This window comes from Homo sapiens, chromosome 2 (assembly GCF_000001405.40).
Source record: "Homo sapiens chromosome 2, GRCh38.p14 Primary Assembly".
In the NCBI taxonomy this organism is placed as follows: domain Eukaryota; kingdom Metazoa; phylum Chordata; class Mammalia; order Primates; family Hominidae; genus Homo; species Homo sapiens.
The window spans coordinates 23,087,354-23,107,171 of record NC_000002.12 but is presented as its reverse complement, the minus strand read 5'-3'; the positions used below and the strand labels follow the sequence as shown (position 1 = coordinate 23,107,171).

The 19,818-nt window shown below is 39.8% G+C and overlaps 1 long non-coding RNA gene across 1 annotated transcript in view, besides 1 other annotated feature; it reads left to right on the top strand.

The window, feature by feature from the left end:
- Positions 1-19,818, top strand: part of LOC107985792 (uncharacterized) — a 180,825-nt gene that overhangs the window by 91,758 nt on the left and 69,249 nt on the right. The window contains exon 2 of the long non-coding RNA NR_171639.1: positions 16,324-16,425. This is a non-coding gene — a long non-coding RNA (uncharacterized LOC107985792). The remainder of the gene's footprint in view (positions 1-16,323; positions 16,426-19,818) is intronic.
- Positions 1,981-3,180: an enhancer, noted in NCBI's record as "BRD4-independent group 4 enhancer chr2:23326863-23328062 (GRCh37/hg19 assembly coordinates)". NCBI's record gives its function as "activates an origin of replication core promoter dependent on BRD2, P300/CBP, MED14 and CDK7 cofactors, and independent of BRD4, by STARR-seq in HCT116 cells {active_cell/tissue: HCT116}" and the evidence as "EXISTENCE:reporter gene assay evidence [ECO:0000049][PMID:35650434]".

The following is a 19,818-nucleotide window of genomic DNA, read 5'->3' as shown; positions in this document are numbered from 1 at the left end:
GGAATGGAGCCACTCACAGTGTGGTTTACATCTGTAGAAGGCAAACATCCTCAAAAACTCATTGACCCACTGAATAGCATATGCATTTCCTTCCTCACCTGCCTTACCAAGCCATCAGTCCTTCTTGCTCTTATTAGAGATCCTTCCTTAATCTGTTTGGCAGACTCATAATTTACAGCTCCTAGACTTTGTTGTTAGGGTCAAAGGGTTACAGGGATACAAATCTAATTGAAATATTTTTGGAAAATCTGATTTCTCAGTGGATTGGACTAAAATAGTTTGACACAATCTCTTTTTTCAAACCAAGAGTGGTCTTTCTTGGACCTTAGAAAAGCAAAACCAAACCCAGAGATTCTGAGATGGATTTGTAGACCAGTAGAATTCCAAGATACACAGTTTGATTCCAGTCTTCTAAGTAATGGAAAAAATAAAAAAAATTCACCATGAGCCATACTCCCTCTATTTGCAGTATGCAGGCTACTCAGTTCCTTTCATTGTACTAGTCAGCTTGCCTTTCTTAGCCACGCTGGAATTCTTTCTCTGAACGTGAATGATCTCCCAGAGTTCTCATCTTTGGTAGGCTAGTCTCATCTTTTTCAATCAATTGCTCAGCTCCAGGATGCTTTTTTCATGTTGGGAAAGCAATTGCCCATTTTCTGAGTCTTTGCTGCTAAAGTAAGTGCAGAAGCATTCTTCAGACTCTGCCAAATTTATCACTGCCGATAAATATGACAGTTCTGGGAATGTGGCTTCAATCTCCCCTTCTAGCCAGGCTGAAATGAAGACTAGGGAATTTGAAGGGCCAAATATTTAGTCCTCTATGTTATTACCACATCACAGAAGCTGTGCTTACTTTTTTTTTCTAAGACAAGCAATTTTTATATCTACTTCTTTTACACCAAAATACTTTATGTCTAAAACAGATATCGTTGCTTAAAAAACAAGTTTCACTCCACCTCTGTCCAGCAACTTGAACTCTAACTCCCGCCCATTTCATGTCTGTCCTGGGGCCCTTCTTCACAAGAGAAAAGGCATCCATAGTTTGTTATATGCAACTAGATAAGAACATAAAGAAATTTCATATCAAACATTTGAAATAAAAAAAAGGACTCCAGAATTTTTCTGTCTCCTAGTTTTGAACCATGATGATAGTAGAAAATCTGCCCCACAGTTTATAAGCACTGATGATATTTATCTTTATTGTTCTTTTTATTCCTGCTATTGAAGATGCTAGTGCTTGATGTTTATTGCTGGAATGTTTGTAAATTCCTGGAAGCTCATACGTCAGACAATGTGTGTAACTTAAAGAGAAGAAAAAGACTCCATCTTCCGGGACTGTCTTTATTTCCTAGAACTAGCTATCGATATTTGCCTGGTAGAAGCTTTAGGTCACAAACTCTCTGCCCCAAAAATCTGTTTCTCTCTACATGTCTGCCATAGTCTCATTGATTTTCTTCTCCTTCTCCAGAAACCCTTGAAAAATCCTGATACTTTAGATAATAGTAATAATAGCAGCAGTGAACACTTACATAGCACTTTATCATGTGCCAGACACTCTTCTAAGCATATTGCAAGGATTAAGTCATTTAATCCTTGTGACACTCTGTGAGGCAGGTACCATTATTCTCCCCATTTGACATAGATGAAGAAATGGGTTTGCACAGATTTGTTACGTAATTTGTCCAAGGCCACATAGCTAGTGAATGGTGAAGATGAGATTTAAACCCAGGAAGTCTTGAGGGGAGAGTCTTCTGCTTGGTTTATCCTGGGGGTAAACTTCTGAAGACCTCCTGTTTTCTTGGCCTTTCGGCCTTCTGCCTTGCTGTGTCCTTGAGTGTCCTTTTTCTCCTCCCTCTCTGCATGGTATTTTATTTTGATTGGTTGCTCAGACCCCTTATCCACAGGAGCCCATATTCGGCAGACGCAATTCCAACTGAAACCCTGTCTAGGCCTTATCCTCAATTAAGAGCCCATTTCCATTCCAACTGGGATGTCTGGGAAGCGGTGCTGTTCAGAGCCTGGTGTTGGAATTACCACACAATGTTTGGGTCTCCTGGATGCCTCTGAGTTGTAGCATTTCCCCAGTTTCCGTTGGGTGTGCTCATTTGGGAGACATTCTGAGGATCCCTCCACATGCCTGGTAAGATGTAGACCTTGGCTAGAGTATGAGCTTTGTGTGCTGTTACTTCAAAAAGATCAAAAGCCTCTGATGTGGATCCATCGCTGAAGTGCATCCTATAGTTCCTTAAGGTAATGCTTAAAAATGCAAAATGAGTGGGAAAGAGAAATTATAATTGGGAAGAAAATAGAAAATAATTAGAATAATAATTAGAAGAAAGCAAAAAATAAAGTGTGTTATGCAATGTCTTCTAAATTGGATAATTTATAGGAAAGTGCTCGAAAGGCCTACAATGCTCTCCAGTGGGAGGTAACATTATTATGATAATTGTTGCATTTGTTTTATTATCCTCACCTTAGGATTCTGGTTTCTGCCAAAGTTGAACATGGAAATAAATCAGTAGATGGCATGGAATTCCTGAAGGCCAGGTGCTGTTGAACAACCCACAGGCAGGGAAGCTTGTCTTCCTGGGGCTCCTGCCTATCCAGTGAACATCCTGAAGATCCAGGGAACAATCAGTTCAGTCCTGATGGAGCAATCAGAAGCTGAAGGAAGAAACCCATCTGTGCTGTAAACCAAAGAGGGGAAGACCAATTATCAAATCCAGGCCACGTACCATCAGTTCAAACTGAAGGGAAAAGATACAGGCCTCCTAAACACAGAACAATTCCAACCTGACAAAGGGCTTAGAGAGAATCAGAAACACTCTTGCAAATATAGCAGAGAAAGAGGCGAGGCTGGAGAAAAAAATAGGCCAAGTAATAAGTGCGAGAGGGGATTGAAGCTAGTAATGACTCAAAAACGGCTGAGCTGCCGAACCTATTTAAAAATCCTCTTAAAAACAGAAGCAGAGAAGAAAAGAATCATGAACGGAAGTGGCACAGGGATGACCTTGAAGAATAATTAAACCAAAACCAAGTGAGGGGCTATTTTGCAGCTCGGAACATAGAGAAATCAGTGTTGGATGGCAGGATTCCGAAGGCATTAAGGGAGCTTGTGCTCTTAAGCTAATTAGTTCACACATTTACAGTTATTTTGGGGAAAAGTAATAGGGATCTAAGGATGCTAACAAGAGAAGAGACTATAAAAGGTGGTTTCAATCTTGAACCACGACAGAAGGCTTATGGAAATGCAGTGCAATACGGCTGATGTCAACATGCAATGGGGATGTGAAGGAGGGACCCTGGCATCCAGAGGGTAATGGGGTCATTGGCAAGAACCATGATTGATTTTTTTGGAGAACAAAGGAGGTCCAACAATTGATTTTTTTTTCTTGTGCACAGGAGTTGGCTGAATTTTAAAAGATAGCATAAATCTTTGAACTTTACTCACACAGTTGGCACCAGGGTTCACATCATTTATTTCAAAGCTGAGGTAGCTTGGCTATATGGGCCCTTGCCACATGGATCTGGAGTGTCTGGAAAACTGCAGCAAAAGACAAGGCAGTGGCAGTTTATCCTGCTCATGGCTGGATGGGGAATAAATTATCCTGGTGAACGAAAGCTTCAGATGATTCTCAAATAGAGGATTCTGAAAGAGTCTCTGATAATGTGAAGTCCTACACCATGAGCTTAGGAAATTGTAAGATGATATTTGGCTTAGGGTAAAACTAGGTGCTGTCTTAGTAACGTCACTGTGCTTGAGAAGATTCTTACCTTTGATGGATGACTGGATTGTATGAATTCTTATGTTCCTTACATATTTGATATTTTATAGTGCTAGGAATAGTGGTTGTCATAATTTTCAAAGAGTGGGAAGAAGGCAGGCTAACCAGAGGGTAAGTTGGAATCCCAAGGGAAGAGAAGAATTTCTGGGGTACTGAGGAATGCAGACCGTTTGATGCTCTTCTTTCTTCATCTTATGCTGCACTTCAGTTCCAAGACTAAATATGCTGTTTCTATTGCCCCTGCCATCTTGAAGCTTTGTACTTTTAATACCATAACCCATAACCCATCTGATTCATGCATCCTCCATTGTTATTCCCAACTTGAGCTTTACTTCATTTTAGGTAGAATCTTCCCTATGAGAGTGCAGGGTAAATTAAAAAGTTATATAGAGACCAAAAGGAATACATAATCTAGTACTTTAATGGCGTGATTTAGAAAACCTTGTTGACAAAGCTACATAAGTCTGTAGTATTCTGAATGGGTAGGATGACAAAGTGATCAGAATTGATAAAATGAAAGAGGCTGATAGATGACATAAAATGTTCTGACTCATAATTCTCCTGAAAGCCCTCTCCCTGTATGACGCCATTGCCCTGGAAGCTCCCAGGGCAAATTTATTTTCCATTTTGCAGATGAGAATATTGAAACACAAGTCAAGGGACTTCTGGTTTCAGCTCTTACATGTAAACAGTTTGGAAGTCATCACTCTCATTCCTACATGAAAAAAAGCTGAACAAACTGAAAATCAATGACTTTTTCTTGGGCCCATCAGAGAATTAGGTCATGGAACAAACCAGCACTTTGAAATCTAGAGAAACAAGTGAATATCAAACAAAATCACAGCTGAAATCTGCTTACCTGGAGGAGAAGTCAGTTAAATGGTAATTGTGATGAATTGCTTGAGGCTGAGTGTGGACTAGTATCAAAATGAAAAACTCCTGGGGTCCACAGTCTTAGCGGGGATCCTAAGCTTTTCTGGGTTTTGCCTCTGTGAACCCTACTAGAGTCTCACAGTAAAGAGCCAAGAAAGATCTCTCTTTGGCTCTGGCAGGCAGAGATGAAAAGTCACCATTATGAAATAAATTCAAAGCGCCTCCACAAAAAAAGAGCCTGCTTTCCAGGGAAAAAGACTTTAGCAGTGACTTATCTCACCTGGAGGGAGGACATTTACTTGGCTTCAGCCCCCTCTAGACTTTCTGTCTCACCTAAGTAGGGGGGAGTAGCTAAAAACACTTGTGAAAGTCACAACCCAGGGACACAGAACCACTGAAAGACTGAGATTTAATCACAAGATTATGGAATGCTTCCCTTCCCTCACATCTTATTATTATACCAACAGGGCTCCAGTATAATCACAGTGGATTACAGCTGAAAAAACTACAAGATGCAAACTTCATCTAAGGTGGAGTTATTAGGGAAGCCCAAAGACAGCAGAGGAGACAAAAACAAGGGCACTGGAAAAATTTAAAGTCTCTGCTATCTACAGCTACAGCACATATTAAACACAACCCACCTCTAAGCCAGATTAACATAAAACTTCACATTTACCCATTTACCTCAGTTCCTATTGCCCCATACCTCATGTCTGGCTTTCACCTAAACACCACAAAGTATGTTGAAAAGGAAGAAGAAAGAGTCTGAAGAAACAACGTAAGCATTAACCAGACTCAGACATAAAACATATGTTGGAATAATCAGATAGGGAGTTTAAAATACCTATGATTAATATATTAACGGTCCTAATATGAAAAGTAAACATCGTGCAAGAACAGATTGGTATTATAAACAGAGAGATAAAAACTCTGAGAAAGAATCAAAAGGCAATACTATAAATCAAAAGTACTATACCAAAAATGAAGACTAATTTTATTTTTACTTTTTGTTTTTTTATTATTTTTTTAAGTTCCGGGGTACACATGCAGGATGTGCAGGTTTGTTACATAGGTAAACGTATGCCATGGTGGTTTGCTGCACCTGTCAACCCATCGCCTAGGTATTATTTGTATAAATTTATGGAGAACAAGTTTAATCTGGTCACATGCATTAATCACATAGCGGTGAAGTCAGGGCTTTTAGGGTATTCTACACCTGGATGTCTAACTTTCTTGCTATACCTGGGAAATTGGTATCATTTATTTTATTAAATAGGCTTTCTAAACTTTTTAAATTTTTATTCCCCCTCAGAAATACTGATAAGTTATGAGTTTATTTGCTTTATGCAGTCCCAAATGTCTCTAAGGCTGTTTTCATTCTTTTTTATTTTTGTCTGGCTGGATTATTTCAAGACCCGTCTTGAAGGTCTGAAATTCTTTCTTCTGCTGCTTCCTGTCTATTGCTGAAGTTTTCAAATGTATTTTGTAATTCCTTCAATGAATTTTTCAAAAATTTCTGTTGTGTGTGTAAGATATATATCTCCTTGGTAAATTTCTCATTTATATGCTGAATTGATTTGTCTAATTTCTTTGTGTTGGTTTTTGGATTTCTCTTGCATCTTATTACATGTTTTAAAAATAAATATTTGGAATTCTTGTTTTTTTTTTTATTTTTTTTTCTTGAGACAAGGTCTCACCCTGTTGCCCAGTCTGGAGTGCAGTGGTGTGATCACAGCTCACTGCAACATTTACCTCCTGGGCTCAAGCGATCCTCTCATTTCAGCCTCCTGAGTAGCTGGGAATACAGGCATGCACCACCACACAGAGCTAGTTTTTGTATTTTTTTCGTAGAGACAGGGCTTTGGCATGTTTCCCAGGCTGATCTTGAACTCTTGAGCTCAAGCCATCTGCCTGCCTCAGCCTCCCAAAGTGTTATGATTACAGTCATAAGCCACTGTGCCAGGCCTGTTTTGAATTCTTTATCTGACATTTTGAGGATTTCTTTTTGGCTAGGATCTACTGATGAATGACTATGCCTTTGAGGGTGTCATATTACCTTGCATTTTCATGTTTTTTGTTTCTTTATGTTGATATAGGCACATATGGAGCAATAATCACTTCTCATTTTTGAATTTGCTTCGGTTGGGGGAGTGTTTTTTCTTAAAGATGTGACTATAATGTTGGTTGGGTAGGCAAATAGATAATATGAACAATCCTATAGCTATTAAACAATTAAATAGTTAATAGCCTCTCAAAAAGAGGCAACAGGCCCAGATAGTTTCACTTGTGGATTCTACCAAGCATTCAAGGAAGAAATGATGCTAATTTTTCATAATCTCATCCATAAAAATAAGAGCAAAGGGATTACTTTCTGAATCATTCTATTAGGCCAGGATTATCCTAATACTAAAACCAGATAAAGACATTATAAGAAAGTGAAAGTGCAGATCAATAGTTCACATTAATATGAAAGCAACAATCCTGAACAAGATATTAGTAAATTAAATCCAGCATTGTATAAAAAGAATTATATACCACAACCAAATAGAATTTATTCCAAGGCTGTCTCAACATTAGAAAATTAATCAATATAATCAACCATCTTAACGGATAAAAAAGCAAAGTCATATGATAATATAAATTGGTGCCGCAAAAGCATTTGGAAAAATCTGACAACGATTTAGGATAAAAACTCTCAGCAAACTAGGATTAGAGGGGAACTTCTTCAATTTGATAAACAATATCTACAAAAACCCTACAGCTGACATTTAATGGTGAGAGACTGAATGCTTTCTACCTAAAATCAGAAACAAGTCGAAGATATCTTCCCTCATCACTTCTATTCATCTTTGTACTAGAGTCCTACCTAATGAAATAAGAGAAGAAAAGAAGATAAAGTTATACATACTGGGCAGGAAGAAATACAACTGTCTTTGCTCCCAGATGACAAGATTGTTTATATAGAAATTCCTAAAGAATTGAAAACAAAACAAAAACTCCTGGAACTAATATGTGAGTATAGCAAGGTCGTAGGACATAAGGCTAATATACAAAAGTCATATGCTGTCCTGTACACCAGCAGTGAACAATTGAAGTTTGAAATTTTAAAAATCAATTTACGTGAAGTCAAATGCTTATGTATAAATGTAACTGAATACATACAAGACCTATATGTGGAAAACTATAATATTGATGAACAAAATCAAGGAAAATTAATAATTGGAAAGATACTCTGTGTTTATGAGTTGAAAACACAAATCAGGGGACAAATTAAAGAGAGGGCTGGGACTAAACTCTGTTTTCAGATTTTTAAACCAGAAAAGAATTTTAATTTGAGGAACTTTATTTTGATGCCTTATTAATAGGAACAATTTTAAACAATTCATCAATTGATTAACTGTCTAATTTGTTTATATCATTGCTATTAAAATGCAATGCATTGCTCAGAGCAAAAAATTCAAATAGTTTAAAAGGTGATGAAAAGTTTTTCTCCATTCTAAGAAGAAACTACAGTTATCAGTGTCTTGGCTGTGTTTCCAGAAATGTTCTATCGTACACAGTCTTTCAGATGGTAAGTCAGAATCTGTGGCTAAAGAAGTTAGAGAGAATGTTGACTGTTCCATTTGTGAGATCTTGATATACCATACATACTTGTGAGCTTTTACTTTCTTCTTTGCATTGGTTTTAATTTTTAAAATAATACTAATTTTTATAGTTCACTAAAAGGATGAATTTTGTAGTTAACATGCAAAGTTTCTGGTTTCATTTGCCCTCTATTGCTTTTGTGCAAATAATCCAAGAGTGAGGTCAGGGTTGGTGAGATTTGACCTCTTCTTTTTGAGTATGCATTGAGTATCAATGTTTATGTGGAGTTTGGAAAGGAGAAAATATCTGGAAAAGAGAGAAAACAGGAGAGAGGAAAGTACTGTTTCTCTCCTTGTCTGTCTGTTGCTTTTTCAGGACTGCTTAGTGGTGTGCAAAGGGGTGTTCCCAGGCCTTAACATCTACCCTGTGGATATCACTATTTTGGAAGCCTATTAGTAGCAGCAGTTAGACTCATATAAGTTCCTAAGCCTTTAAAACCTAGGACTGCAGTTTGGAACCTGAACCTGTGTAATTGTCTATGGTATGATTGTGGATGCGGAAGTTCTGCATTTTTAAAAAGTTCTCTCTGCCTCTCCACTCAAAGTCTCTTAGTCTCCTTCATTCAGCAACACTAGTGTGAAGTGAGAAGGGAAATGTGCAGAGAAATCTATCACACTCTTATGCTCATTATTTTCACCGCTGATACCTGGCACTGACTAAAACCAATTCCATCTCCCTATTTTCCATGTTTCTAATTTCTTGCAAACCATCACAGATATTGCAGATTTTAGTAGGCAAATTGCATACCATGCTAATGAACATAACAAATCAGTTGAATAAGCAGGAGCTTGATGTGCAAGAATAAGCACCGTGATAACACTGTTGCATGAAAGTTGCTTTGATCGGTGTTGTAAATGAGGCCTTTCTCCTGGGGGTTCCACGTGCTCTGAGGTTGAAGCGAACATGAACCTCTCCTCTGGGTCACACCACCAGCATCAGTGTGGGGCCCTTGGGTGTGGTGCCCTGGACTGAGGCTAGGGCTGAAGCTAGGCCTGGGACAAGGATTTGGAGAAGGAGAGAAATTGGAGAATGGCTTCCTGCTGCCCTTGAAGGCTTAAAATTTAGGAAGGGACACAGAACATTTGTATAATCTTACAAGCATTATCTTAGTGGAAATCAAATAATGCAATAGCCCGGAGTACTTTGAACAGTGCCAGAGTCTGTGTGGGAGTAAAGAGAAGCATTGGGGATGTTACCGGAAGATATCACAAGGCATAGGGTTATCCATGGTAACTTTTCAATTGTGATTGGCAAGCTGTCCTCAATTCACTATCTCGAGGCTCCATGGAGCAAGATCATGTTCCCAGATGTTCTCTTTTGGAGTCCAGCCAGATATGGCCACTAGCTTTGCTCAGAATTAGCTCAAAACTTGATGTCCTGTCTGAGATACTTTGGCTTAGTGACATTTCCTGTAATGGGGCACTCCCTGTCTATACAGGCATGTGCAACCCACTGACAGTAACTCCAGGGGGAGTCTGGTGGCTTTGGTGTTTACCCCAGTAGGCTTGAAAAACAGCATGTCTCTTCCTGGCATATCTTCCCTTTACTGGTTTTCATCTTTCCAGTGCTCTTGTCTTGGAGAAGATAATATAATTGTTATTGTTGTTTCACATCATTTCTTAGCAGAGTAATTGTTGTGTTTCCAATGCCTTGAAAGAATACCTTAGATTGTCCTGAAATAGTGTGATCTGAGACAAGTTGTCTGTCAAATCTGTGGATGTGTGCAAGGGCAAGCTGGGTGAGTCAGATGCCTCCCGTCACCAGATGAATCACTGGAAAACTTAGTAGGAACTGTCCAGTGGCAGGCTTAAATATATTTACTTGACATCACTTGGTTCTTCTGACTTTAGCTTGCTTATTTCGGAAAGAAGGAGGGTGGTGCTGGGTGCTGCCAGCTGTCTTTGTCTGCTCTGGGGAGTGCATAGACCTGGAAGTGTTGATCTGTTATTGTACATTTGCACAGTGCAAAGTTCAGAGTGGTCACAGAGCTTGATGGTATCTGAAGGATTCTGCAGCCTCCAAGTCAGAAGCAGCCCTCTTAAGTCTTGCATTAAATAAGGCCCCATCTTATAAGGAGGAAAATGAGGTGAAGCTGAAAATACACAGATTTAGTTAACTTACCCAGTGTCCCATCACTAGAGTGTATCAGAACAGTAAAAACACCTATCCTGTCCCCATGTGAGATGTTGATCTAACTTGGTGACTTTTTGGAAGCCTTCCTTTAGTGCAGATTCATTTCAAAGAGCTCATCTCAGGCCTGCTATCCTTAAGGAGAATGTGTGGGGTATGGAGGCTGCTTAAATCACCACCGAAAACATTTGAGGACTAAGGGAGTAGTTTTGACTCACTATTCACCTTTCTCCTTCTTTGAAGAATACACAGATTTCACTAAATTCACCCACACATCCACAACCCCTTCAATGCATTTATCATATCAAGTTTTCATTTTTATCTGCTGGCATAACTCAATGTAGGCCCATATTTAACCATCCTTATTGTGTTTTTCTAATTATACATTTTTTTCTTTGCCTCCAAACTGTCTTTTTAGGGATATGGCTTAGCTGTTTCTTTATGTTTTAAGGTTACAGTGGGAATTTATTTTTTCTTCTTCATGGCATCAATAAAGCTAAACTATATTCAGTACCAATACAAAGATATAGCTTTGTTGTTCCTTCACCAAGATCTTCACCCTTGCACTAATATAGTTTGATTAGGACAAGTTCAGCTCTGTGACAGTCTTTTTCACATATCTCTCTGGGACCTAATTTTGATATCTATAAAACAGGGATAGTTATGAAGCAGATGGGTCCAAACACCTCAAGGCTGTTGTGAGGACAAAAGAAGTTAATATACATGAATGAGCTCCCAAAGACCTTACATGGGTCCTTTGAGTAGGGGCATTGACACTTCTCTTTTGGTCCCTGCCTTCTGCCCTCACCCAGTCTCTCCTCTCGTACTTCAGTCTCAGATGCATCATTGTGCCTCTGAAATGTTTCATTGCCACACTGCATGTATTAGTTTACTATTATTTACTTATCTATGTTCTACCCCAGACTCTAGTAAATCTGAGATCTTTGCTTTGGTTTCTCTGCATTTGCGTTCATGGAGCAACTGGATTCCCAATTCTTAAATATTTGTTGAATAATTGAGTTATTGTTACCACCTATAACTGTGTGAAATAAAACCAAATATTTTTTCCATATTTTTTAGGTCTGAGATAAACTATGTCTTGTTTTACGTAAAAATCACAAGAGCCTCATGATGTTGATGTTATTAACCTCTCTGTTTTATAGTTGAGAAATTGGAGGCAATTTGCCTAAGGACAGAGAGCAAGTAATACTGGCTAAGGTGGGATTTGAACTCAGGAAGTATGACTTCAGAGCCTTCATGCTTAAACAGCATACTGAAACATTTCTTGGGAGCAACAGTGGGGTTTGCAGTTATCCCAGCTGCTGGCTTATCTGAGCTTCAGCCAGCTGAAGTCAAGGGACCAGGGAATCTTAGAGTTGAAGTCCTCAGGTGTGATGACTTACCTGAATGCTCCACACATGTGACTGCTTCAGCCATTGGAATTGCGTGACCACTGAGCAGATTCCAGAACATGTTCTCAGTGGTGCACATCAGATAGGTCTTAGTCTATGTCCAGATGTGCTCTTTTCTGAGTGAAGTTTGTATTTTTTCTCTAGAATTTCTGTTAGTCGAATAATATCAGATTGCTAGAGATCTTTTTATTTGCTTTTGTTTGTTTTAGTTCTATCTGCCTGAAGACATACTACTCTTTGGTCTTTCCTTGGGATGGGTCCTCTGTAGCAGACAAGTCTGCAACACCAACGTACTTGTTCCCTCCTGCCTTCTCCTCCCTACATCCAAGTCCTTTTTGTTGTAAAGCAAACAAGACTGTTATTTTAAAACCACTGGCTCTGAGATGTGTCATCTTAATTTTCATCTTGACTTTCTTCCCTGCAGTCCTTCTATAAGCTAGAATTAAAAATTAGATATGTTTTGGAAATATGTTTAGAATTAGAAATAAGGTGTTCTCTTCCTTGTACTTTGAGCATTCCTCAGCCTTCTTTCCTCTCTCTTATCTGTTTTCTGACTTTGTAAATTGTTGTGTTGTAGTGGCTGCTCTATGAGGTAGTCTAACTTGTAATAAGGATGTGATGTGTAGTTGGAATGGCAGGTTCTGCAATGAGGTCACTGAATCCAGGACAGGTAAACAACATGTTATTTGTCTAACTTCAAAAAATCCTTACAAATGCTCAATTTTTCTTGCCAGAGTTGATCCTCATTACCACATTTTCTTATTTACCAGGATGGGAGTAGGCTCACTTGATGGAGAAATGCTATCCTGGTTAAGTGTATAGATAGACAACTTTTTCAGGGCCTCATAGGGCAAAAGAATGCTTGATCTGGATGTTTCTCTTTACCTTAGAAGCATGTACCACTGTGGCCAGAAATCTAGAAATCTATTTTTTTATATTGGAAGTCATTCAAGTTTTTGAAAAAGTGATGTACAGATCCTTGAGCATTCCCTGCTGCCTCAACTCTCTCCCTGAATATGGAGAGCCTGGAGACTATCTACCTTGTATCTAGGAATTTGGGAAGGATAGGCAATATTGCTCCCACCAAAACATAATTGACCCACTCCTGCCTCTGAGGCTTTGTTAATTGAATTATCATCCTGCAACACTTACTCCCATTTTTTTCTGACTGCATATCCTATTATTTAAGCTCAATTAAGGTGTTGCCTGCTCTCAGAAGCCTTACCTGACAAAGAAAGTCAACAGTCCTCCTCTGTATTCTGATAGTTCTTGCTGTCTCTAGCCATCATCTAGCATACGCTTTTAATTAGTTTTCTTCATGCTTAATATTTTCCACTAGATTGTAAGCTCTTCAAGGCCAATGGCTCTGCCCTTTTCAATCTTTGTATGACCAGAGGCCTTCTAGCACAGAGATTTGTTTATAGTAGGTGTGAAATAAATGTGTGATATTGGCTGATTTATGAGCATGCCCTCTAATACAAGACATATGGAGTTCATTGGCTTGGTGCTTGAGTGTCACCACCCCCACACCTCCACCCTTTTCTCCAAGTTATCCTCTTGGCCTGGCCCAGCTGAAGCTGTGGAAAGTAGATAAATCATCCAGCTCCTAGGTCAGACAGCTCAGAGACAAATGAACACAGCAGGTCGTTGCCACTATAATGATGCAGTGGCTGTTCTGTTTGCCAGTTACTGGACAAACAATAGATTTCCTTCCTTCTCTTAACTTTAATTCCATTTCTCATAAGCCTGAAATTGCAGTTGCTTTTTCCAACTTCTTTTCCCCCCACCCTGCCCTAGTTCATGTCAGTGTTACCTTAACTAACATTTTTATGGCTTGAAAATCAATTCAGCACCAGATATAAAGACATTCTCTGTCTCAAGCCTTTGTTCTCAGCACTAGCCTCACACCCTCCATTGGCCCAGTGCTGTAGCTTCGAACCTGCTTCAGGGTCTCTAGTCTCTGATTCCTTTTTTTGTTTGAACTTTTGTTAGATCTGCATTGATGTTTATGAGATAGACTTTCTCTTGCTCTCCTTTCATTGATTTATTTTCAGATAACATAATCTTTGTAATTATGAAGTTGAAAAGATATTGGTTTGAACAATCCTTGTTAATCGTAAGCCTCACTTATTTTACCCTTTTCAACTTAATGATCTTGGAAGACAGAAAAGAGATTCTGGGCTTAAAGCGGGAGGTTTGGAAAAGATTTCACTGGTTCTCAATGGCCAGGTGCAGAGCCGTATTTAAGATCCTTTACCATAGAGATTCAGATTATTTTGTCAGTTCTTTCTTTAGGCCAGCTATGCTGTCTTTAAATTCAGCACCATGGATAGAGGAGATTAGGGGCAGGGATGCATGAAGCAAAACCCTGCCTGGGGAAGTTTTAGTAGCACACAAAATGATTACTTTTATTCTCAGGAATGGTCTTATGAGTTGAGAAGCCCTATACAGGACACCTTTGCTGCCCTGAATGAACACCTGAGCTGAAATAAGTTTTACTAAAAAGCATTCACATCGAAATAAAAATATTAAGATTTGAATTCCAGTATTTATGTTTCCTAGGTACATGACTTTGTGCCTGGTAAACTTTCTGAGAACCAACTTCTGCTGTACAGATATGTTTGGGAAACTACTACCCTGAGAAGATGTAGAGTGTACTTCTAAGTTGGGTTTACATTCTGGGTCTACTCTTTACTTTGGGATCTTGGACAAGTTACTTAAATTTTCTATGGCTGTTTTCTCATCTCTTAAGAAGGTGAAAGGGGTACTTTATTCAAAATGTTGATGGGAGACTTAAGTGGGATATTACATGAAAAATTCTTAGGAGAGTATATGGCATACAGTAAGTGCTACATTATCATCACTATAATTAATAAAATTACTGTAAAAATTACATGAGATAATATATGTAGAAAGTTGGACAGGGACTAGCCATGCAATAATTCTGGTTATACTTTCTTTTCTCCTCATTGATGTTTGAAATCACTCCATTCCTTTGCATTAAGCATTGACCTCAAAGACTTATAGCACCCTTGGAAGAGGATTTATTTTCTTGTACACCTGTGTATGTTTGAATTAGTTCGTCACTTACTGTGGGACAGAAAAACGTAAAAGTTCTGGGTGCTAGAGCTAGGGAGAGTGGGCCAGGAAAGAAAGGATAAAAGATTGCTATACTGTTTTCTGGTTTGTTGAAGGGGTGAGTGTAATTTAGAGAATTAAACGCTAGGAGTCCTCTTCATGATCCTATGCAAAAGGCTCACCATCCACACATCGTAGCTGCAGGCTTGTTGTGATTTGCTATATGAGACTCTAGAATCTTATTGAGAATGGAAAAGAACTCATATAATATGCATAGAAATCCAGAAGCTCTGCCTAATGGTCTTGGAAATTGTGCCTCTAAACAGGCATCCTTTTGCTTCATTCATTCATTTATATATTCACATATTGTACATTAATTAATTTATACTCAATAAGCATTTATTGATAATTTACTGTATCTAGGCATAATGTTAAGGATTATAGCAGAGAAATATGATTTAGACTAAAGGCTGCCATCAGGCATTGGGGAACACAAAACATATATGAAAATCATTAATTAAGTGAATCAATAAATATTAAGTATTTAATATTGTGTCTGGCAAATAATTGGGATTTAATATTTGTTAGATGAGTTTACTGTAAGTTTTTATTATTTATACTATCAAGTTTGATGAATTACTGTCTACATATGGGGTTTACAGGAGGAGTGAGATATTGCTCTGTTGGGGGCTGAAAGGAGATATCTTCAGAAAGGAGGTTGCATTTGAGATGGGCCTTGAGGCAGGGGTATAACTTGGTCATGGACAAATGGAAAGGAAGTGGGTCTCTAGCTGAAAGGTATGGTGTGAACCACAAGGCAGTAGGAAATCACAGGAGATTGATCATGAAAAAATACCAAGTACTTTGAAGTAGAAGAAACATTATGTACAAGTATTGAGAGATGAGACTGGGAAGGTAGGTTAGAGATTTATCTTGGTAGCTTTGAGTGCCAGGCTGCAGACTTTGGGCCTTGTGGTGTGACTGAAGGGGTATCATTCAAAGTTTTATTTATTTATTTAATTATTTATTTATTTATTTATTTATTTATTTATCACTCCAGATGAATAATCAGGTCTTGATGTGTTTTTATAATAAAAAAAAATTGACAGTAGTCAACAGTAACACCATAGTTGCTATTCTTTTTAATGAAATTGTCCTGTGAGAATTCCAGGTATACAAAATGAACCCACCTAGTCATCCAAATTTTGGATAATAATCTCTTGATTTGTGATTTTCTATTTACAGATTCAGCCATGTCTTCCTAGGATCCAGCATCCAAACCTGGACCAAAGTCCTCGGATCCTCAGCAATGGGGGTGCATCTGGTGATGGTGTTCATGCTAAATTTGTGCCAAGAGACACCTGTACTTGTGGGAGAATTAATATTTCACTTCTGTTTAGGTTTCTTTTCTGGGAGCTGCTATCACTGAATACATAAAGAAATTGAGCCTATATGATTTCAATCTTCACCTTCTGATGCTGATGAAACAGGATTCTATGCAGGTGAGTGGGCTGAGGAGCCACGAGGTTAAGGGAAGTTCTGTGGGATATGAGGGGATCCTTTACTCCATTTCCTGTTTTCCCTCCTCTTTCCTCTTTCTCTCCTCCTCTTTCCTCTCCCCTCCCCTCTTCTCCCCTCCCCTCTCCTCCTCCCCTCCCCTTTGCTCTCCTCTCCTCTGCCTTTTTGTGTTAGTCAGGGTTCTCTAGAGGGACAGAACTAATAAGATAGATGTATATATGAAAAGGAGTTTATTAAGGAGTACTGACTCACAGGATCACAAGGTGAAGTCCCACAGTAGGCCACCTGCAAGCTGAGGAGCAAGGAAGCCAGTCCAAGTCTCAAAAGTACGGAAGCTGACAATGCAGCCTTCAGTTTGTGGCCAAAGGCCTGAGAGCCCCTGGCAAACCACTGGCATAAGTCCAAGAATCCAAAAGCTGAAGAACTTGGAGTCTGATGTTTTAGGGCTGAAAGCATTCAGTGTGGGAGAAAGATGAAGCCCAGAAGACTCAGCAAGTCTGCTCTTCCATCTTCTCCTGTATGCTTTATTCTAGTCACACTGGCAGCTGATTAGATGGTGCCCAACCAGACTGAGGGTGGGTCTGCCTCTCCTAGTACACTGACTCAAATGTTAATCTCCTTTGGCATCACTCTCACAGACACACCCAGGAACAATAGTTTGAATCCTTCAATCCAATCAAGTTGACACTCAATATTAACCATAATGTCTCCCCTCCTCTCTCCTCCTCTTCTTTCCCCTCCACTCTTCTCCCTCTCTCAACATGCATATGCACTTGCACACAAGACGCATATATGCACATCATATGGAGCCTCAGGCAAGATTATATGAAAGTCAGCTTCAACCTTGATATGGTTTGGCTCTGTGTCCCCACCCAAATCTCATCTTGTAACTCCCATAATTACCACATGTTGTGGGAGAAACCCAGAGGGAGATAACTGAATCATGGGGGCAGGTCTTTCCTCTGCTATTCTCGTGATAGTGAATAGACTCATGAGATCTGATAGTTTTAAAAACTGGTTTCCCTTCACAAGCTCTCTCTCTCTTTGCCTGCTGCCATCCATGTAAGATGTGACTTGCTCCTCCTTGCCTTCTGCCTTGATTGTGAGGTCTCCCCAACCATGTGGAACTGTAAGTCCATTAAACCCCTCTCTTTTGTAAATTGCCCAGTCTTGGGTGTCTTTATCAGCAGTGTGAAAATGGACTAATACAGTAAATTGGTACTGGGAGTGGAGTGCTACTGAAAAGGTACCCCAAAATGTGGAAGTGACTTTGGAACTGGGTAACAGGCAGAGGCTGGAACAGTTTGGAGAGCTCAGAAGAAGGCAGGAAAATGCAGAAAAGTTTTGAACTTCCTAGAGACTTGTTGAATGGTTTTGACCAAAATGCTGATAATGATATGGACAATAAGGTCCAGGCTGAGGTGGACTCAGATGGAAATGAGGAACTTGTTGAAAAGTAGAACTCTTGTTATGTTTTAGCAAAAAGACTGGCAGCATTTTGCCCCTGCCCTAGAGATTTGAGGAACTTAGAACTTGAGAGAGATGATTTAAGGTATCTGGCGTAAGAAATTTCTAGACAGCAAAGCATTCGAGAGGTGACTTGGATGTTATTAAAGGCATTCAGTTTTAAAAGGGAAACGAGCATAAAAGTTCAGAAAATTTGCAGCCTGACAATACAATAAAAAAGAAAATCACATTTTCTGAGTAGAAATTGAAGCCAGCTGCAGAACTTTGCATAAGTATAACAAGGACCCAAATGTTAATCATTAAGACAATGGGAAAAATGTCTCCAGGGCATGTCAGAGACCTCTGTGGCAGCCCTTCCCATCACAGACCTGGAGGCCTAGGAGAAAAAAATGGTTTTGTGGGCTGGGCCCAGGGCTGCTGTGTCCAGTCTAGGGACTTGGTGTCCTGCGTCTCAGCTGCTCTGGCTGTGACTAAAAGGGGCCAAGGTACAGCTTGGGCTGTGGCTTCGGAGAGTGTAAGCCCAAAGCCTTGGCAGCTTCCATGTGGTGTTGAGCCCACAGGTGCACAGAAGTCAAGAATTGAGGTTTGGGAACTTCCATCTAGATTTTGGAGGATGTATGGAAATTCCTGGATGCCCAGGCAGAAGTTTGCCACAGGGGTGGGACCCTCATGGAGAACTTCTGCTAGGGCAATGGGATCAGAGCCCCCACACAGAGTCCCTACTGGGGTACTGCCTAGTAGAGCTATGAGAAGAGGGCCATCACCATCTTCCAGACCCCAAAATGGTAGATCCACTGACAGCTTGCACCGTGTGCCTGGAAAAGCTGCAGACACTCAATGCTAGCCTGTGAAAGCAGCCAGGAGGGAGGCTATGCCCTGCAAAGCCACAGGGGCAGAGCTGCCCAAGATGATGGGAACCCACTTCTTGCATCAGCATGACCCAGATACGAGACATAGAGTCAAAGGAGATCATTTTGGAGCTTTAAGATTTGACTGCCCCACTGGATTTTGAACTTGCATGGGGCCTGTAGCCCTTCTGTTTTAGCCAATTTCTCCCATTCAGAATGGCTGTATTTACGCAATTCCTGTTATCCCCATTGTATGTAGGAAGTAACTTTATTTGCTTTTGATTTTACAGGCTTATAGATGGAAGGGACTTGCCTTGTTTCAGATGAGACTTTGGACTGTGGACTTTTGAGTTAATGCTGAAATGAGTTAAGGCTTAGGGGGACTGTTGGGAAGGCATGATTGGTTTTGAAATGTGGAGACGTGAGATTTGGGAAGGGTCAGGGTGGAATGATATGATTTGGCTCTGAGTCCTCACCCAAATCTAATCTTGTAGCTCCCATAATTCTCATGTGTTGCAGGAGGGACCCGGTGGGAGATAATTAAATCATGAGGGTGGGTCTTCCCTATGCTGTTCTCATGATAGTGAATAAGTCTCACGAGATCTGATGGTTTTAAAAATGGGAGTTTCCCTGCACAAGCTCTCTCTCTCTCTCTTTTTGCCTGCTGCCACCCATATAAGATGTGACTTTCTCCTGCTTGCCCTCTGTCATGTTTTTGAGGCCTCCACAACCATGTGGAAGTATAGGTCCATTAAACTCCTCTCTTTTGTAAATTGCACAGTCTTGGGTATGTCTTTATCAAGAGTGTGAAAATGGACTAATACAGACCTGCAGTTGGGTGTTTGGCTTTGTCAGCCCCTGGTCCTATAACTGACACAATAGCCCCTTCTATGCTTTCAACCATAAAAAGTAGTTTCCATGCTGGTTTAGTTGAGTGGTGGTAGTGATTGTGAGGTAGACCCTAAAATAGATCATGGCAGCTCAGCTGTCTCATTGACCTGGGCATATTCAGACTGTATAGAAATGATTAGAATGTGTAAGTATAAAGCACCTTCAGAGAGT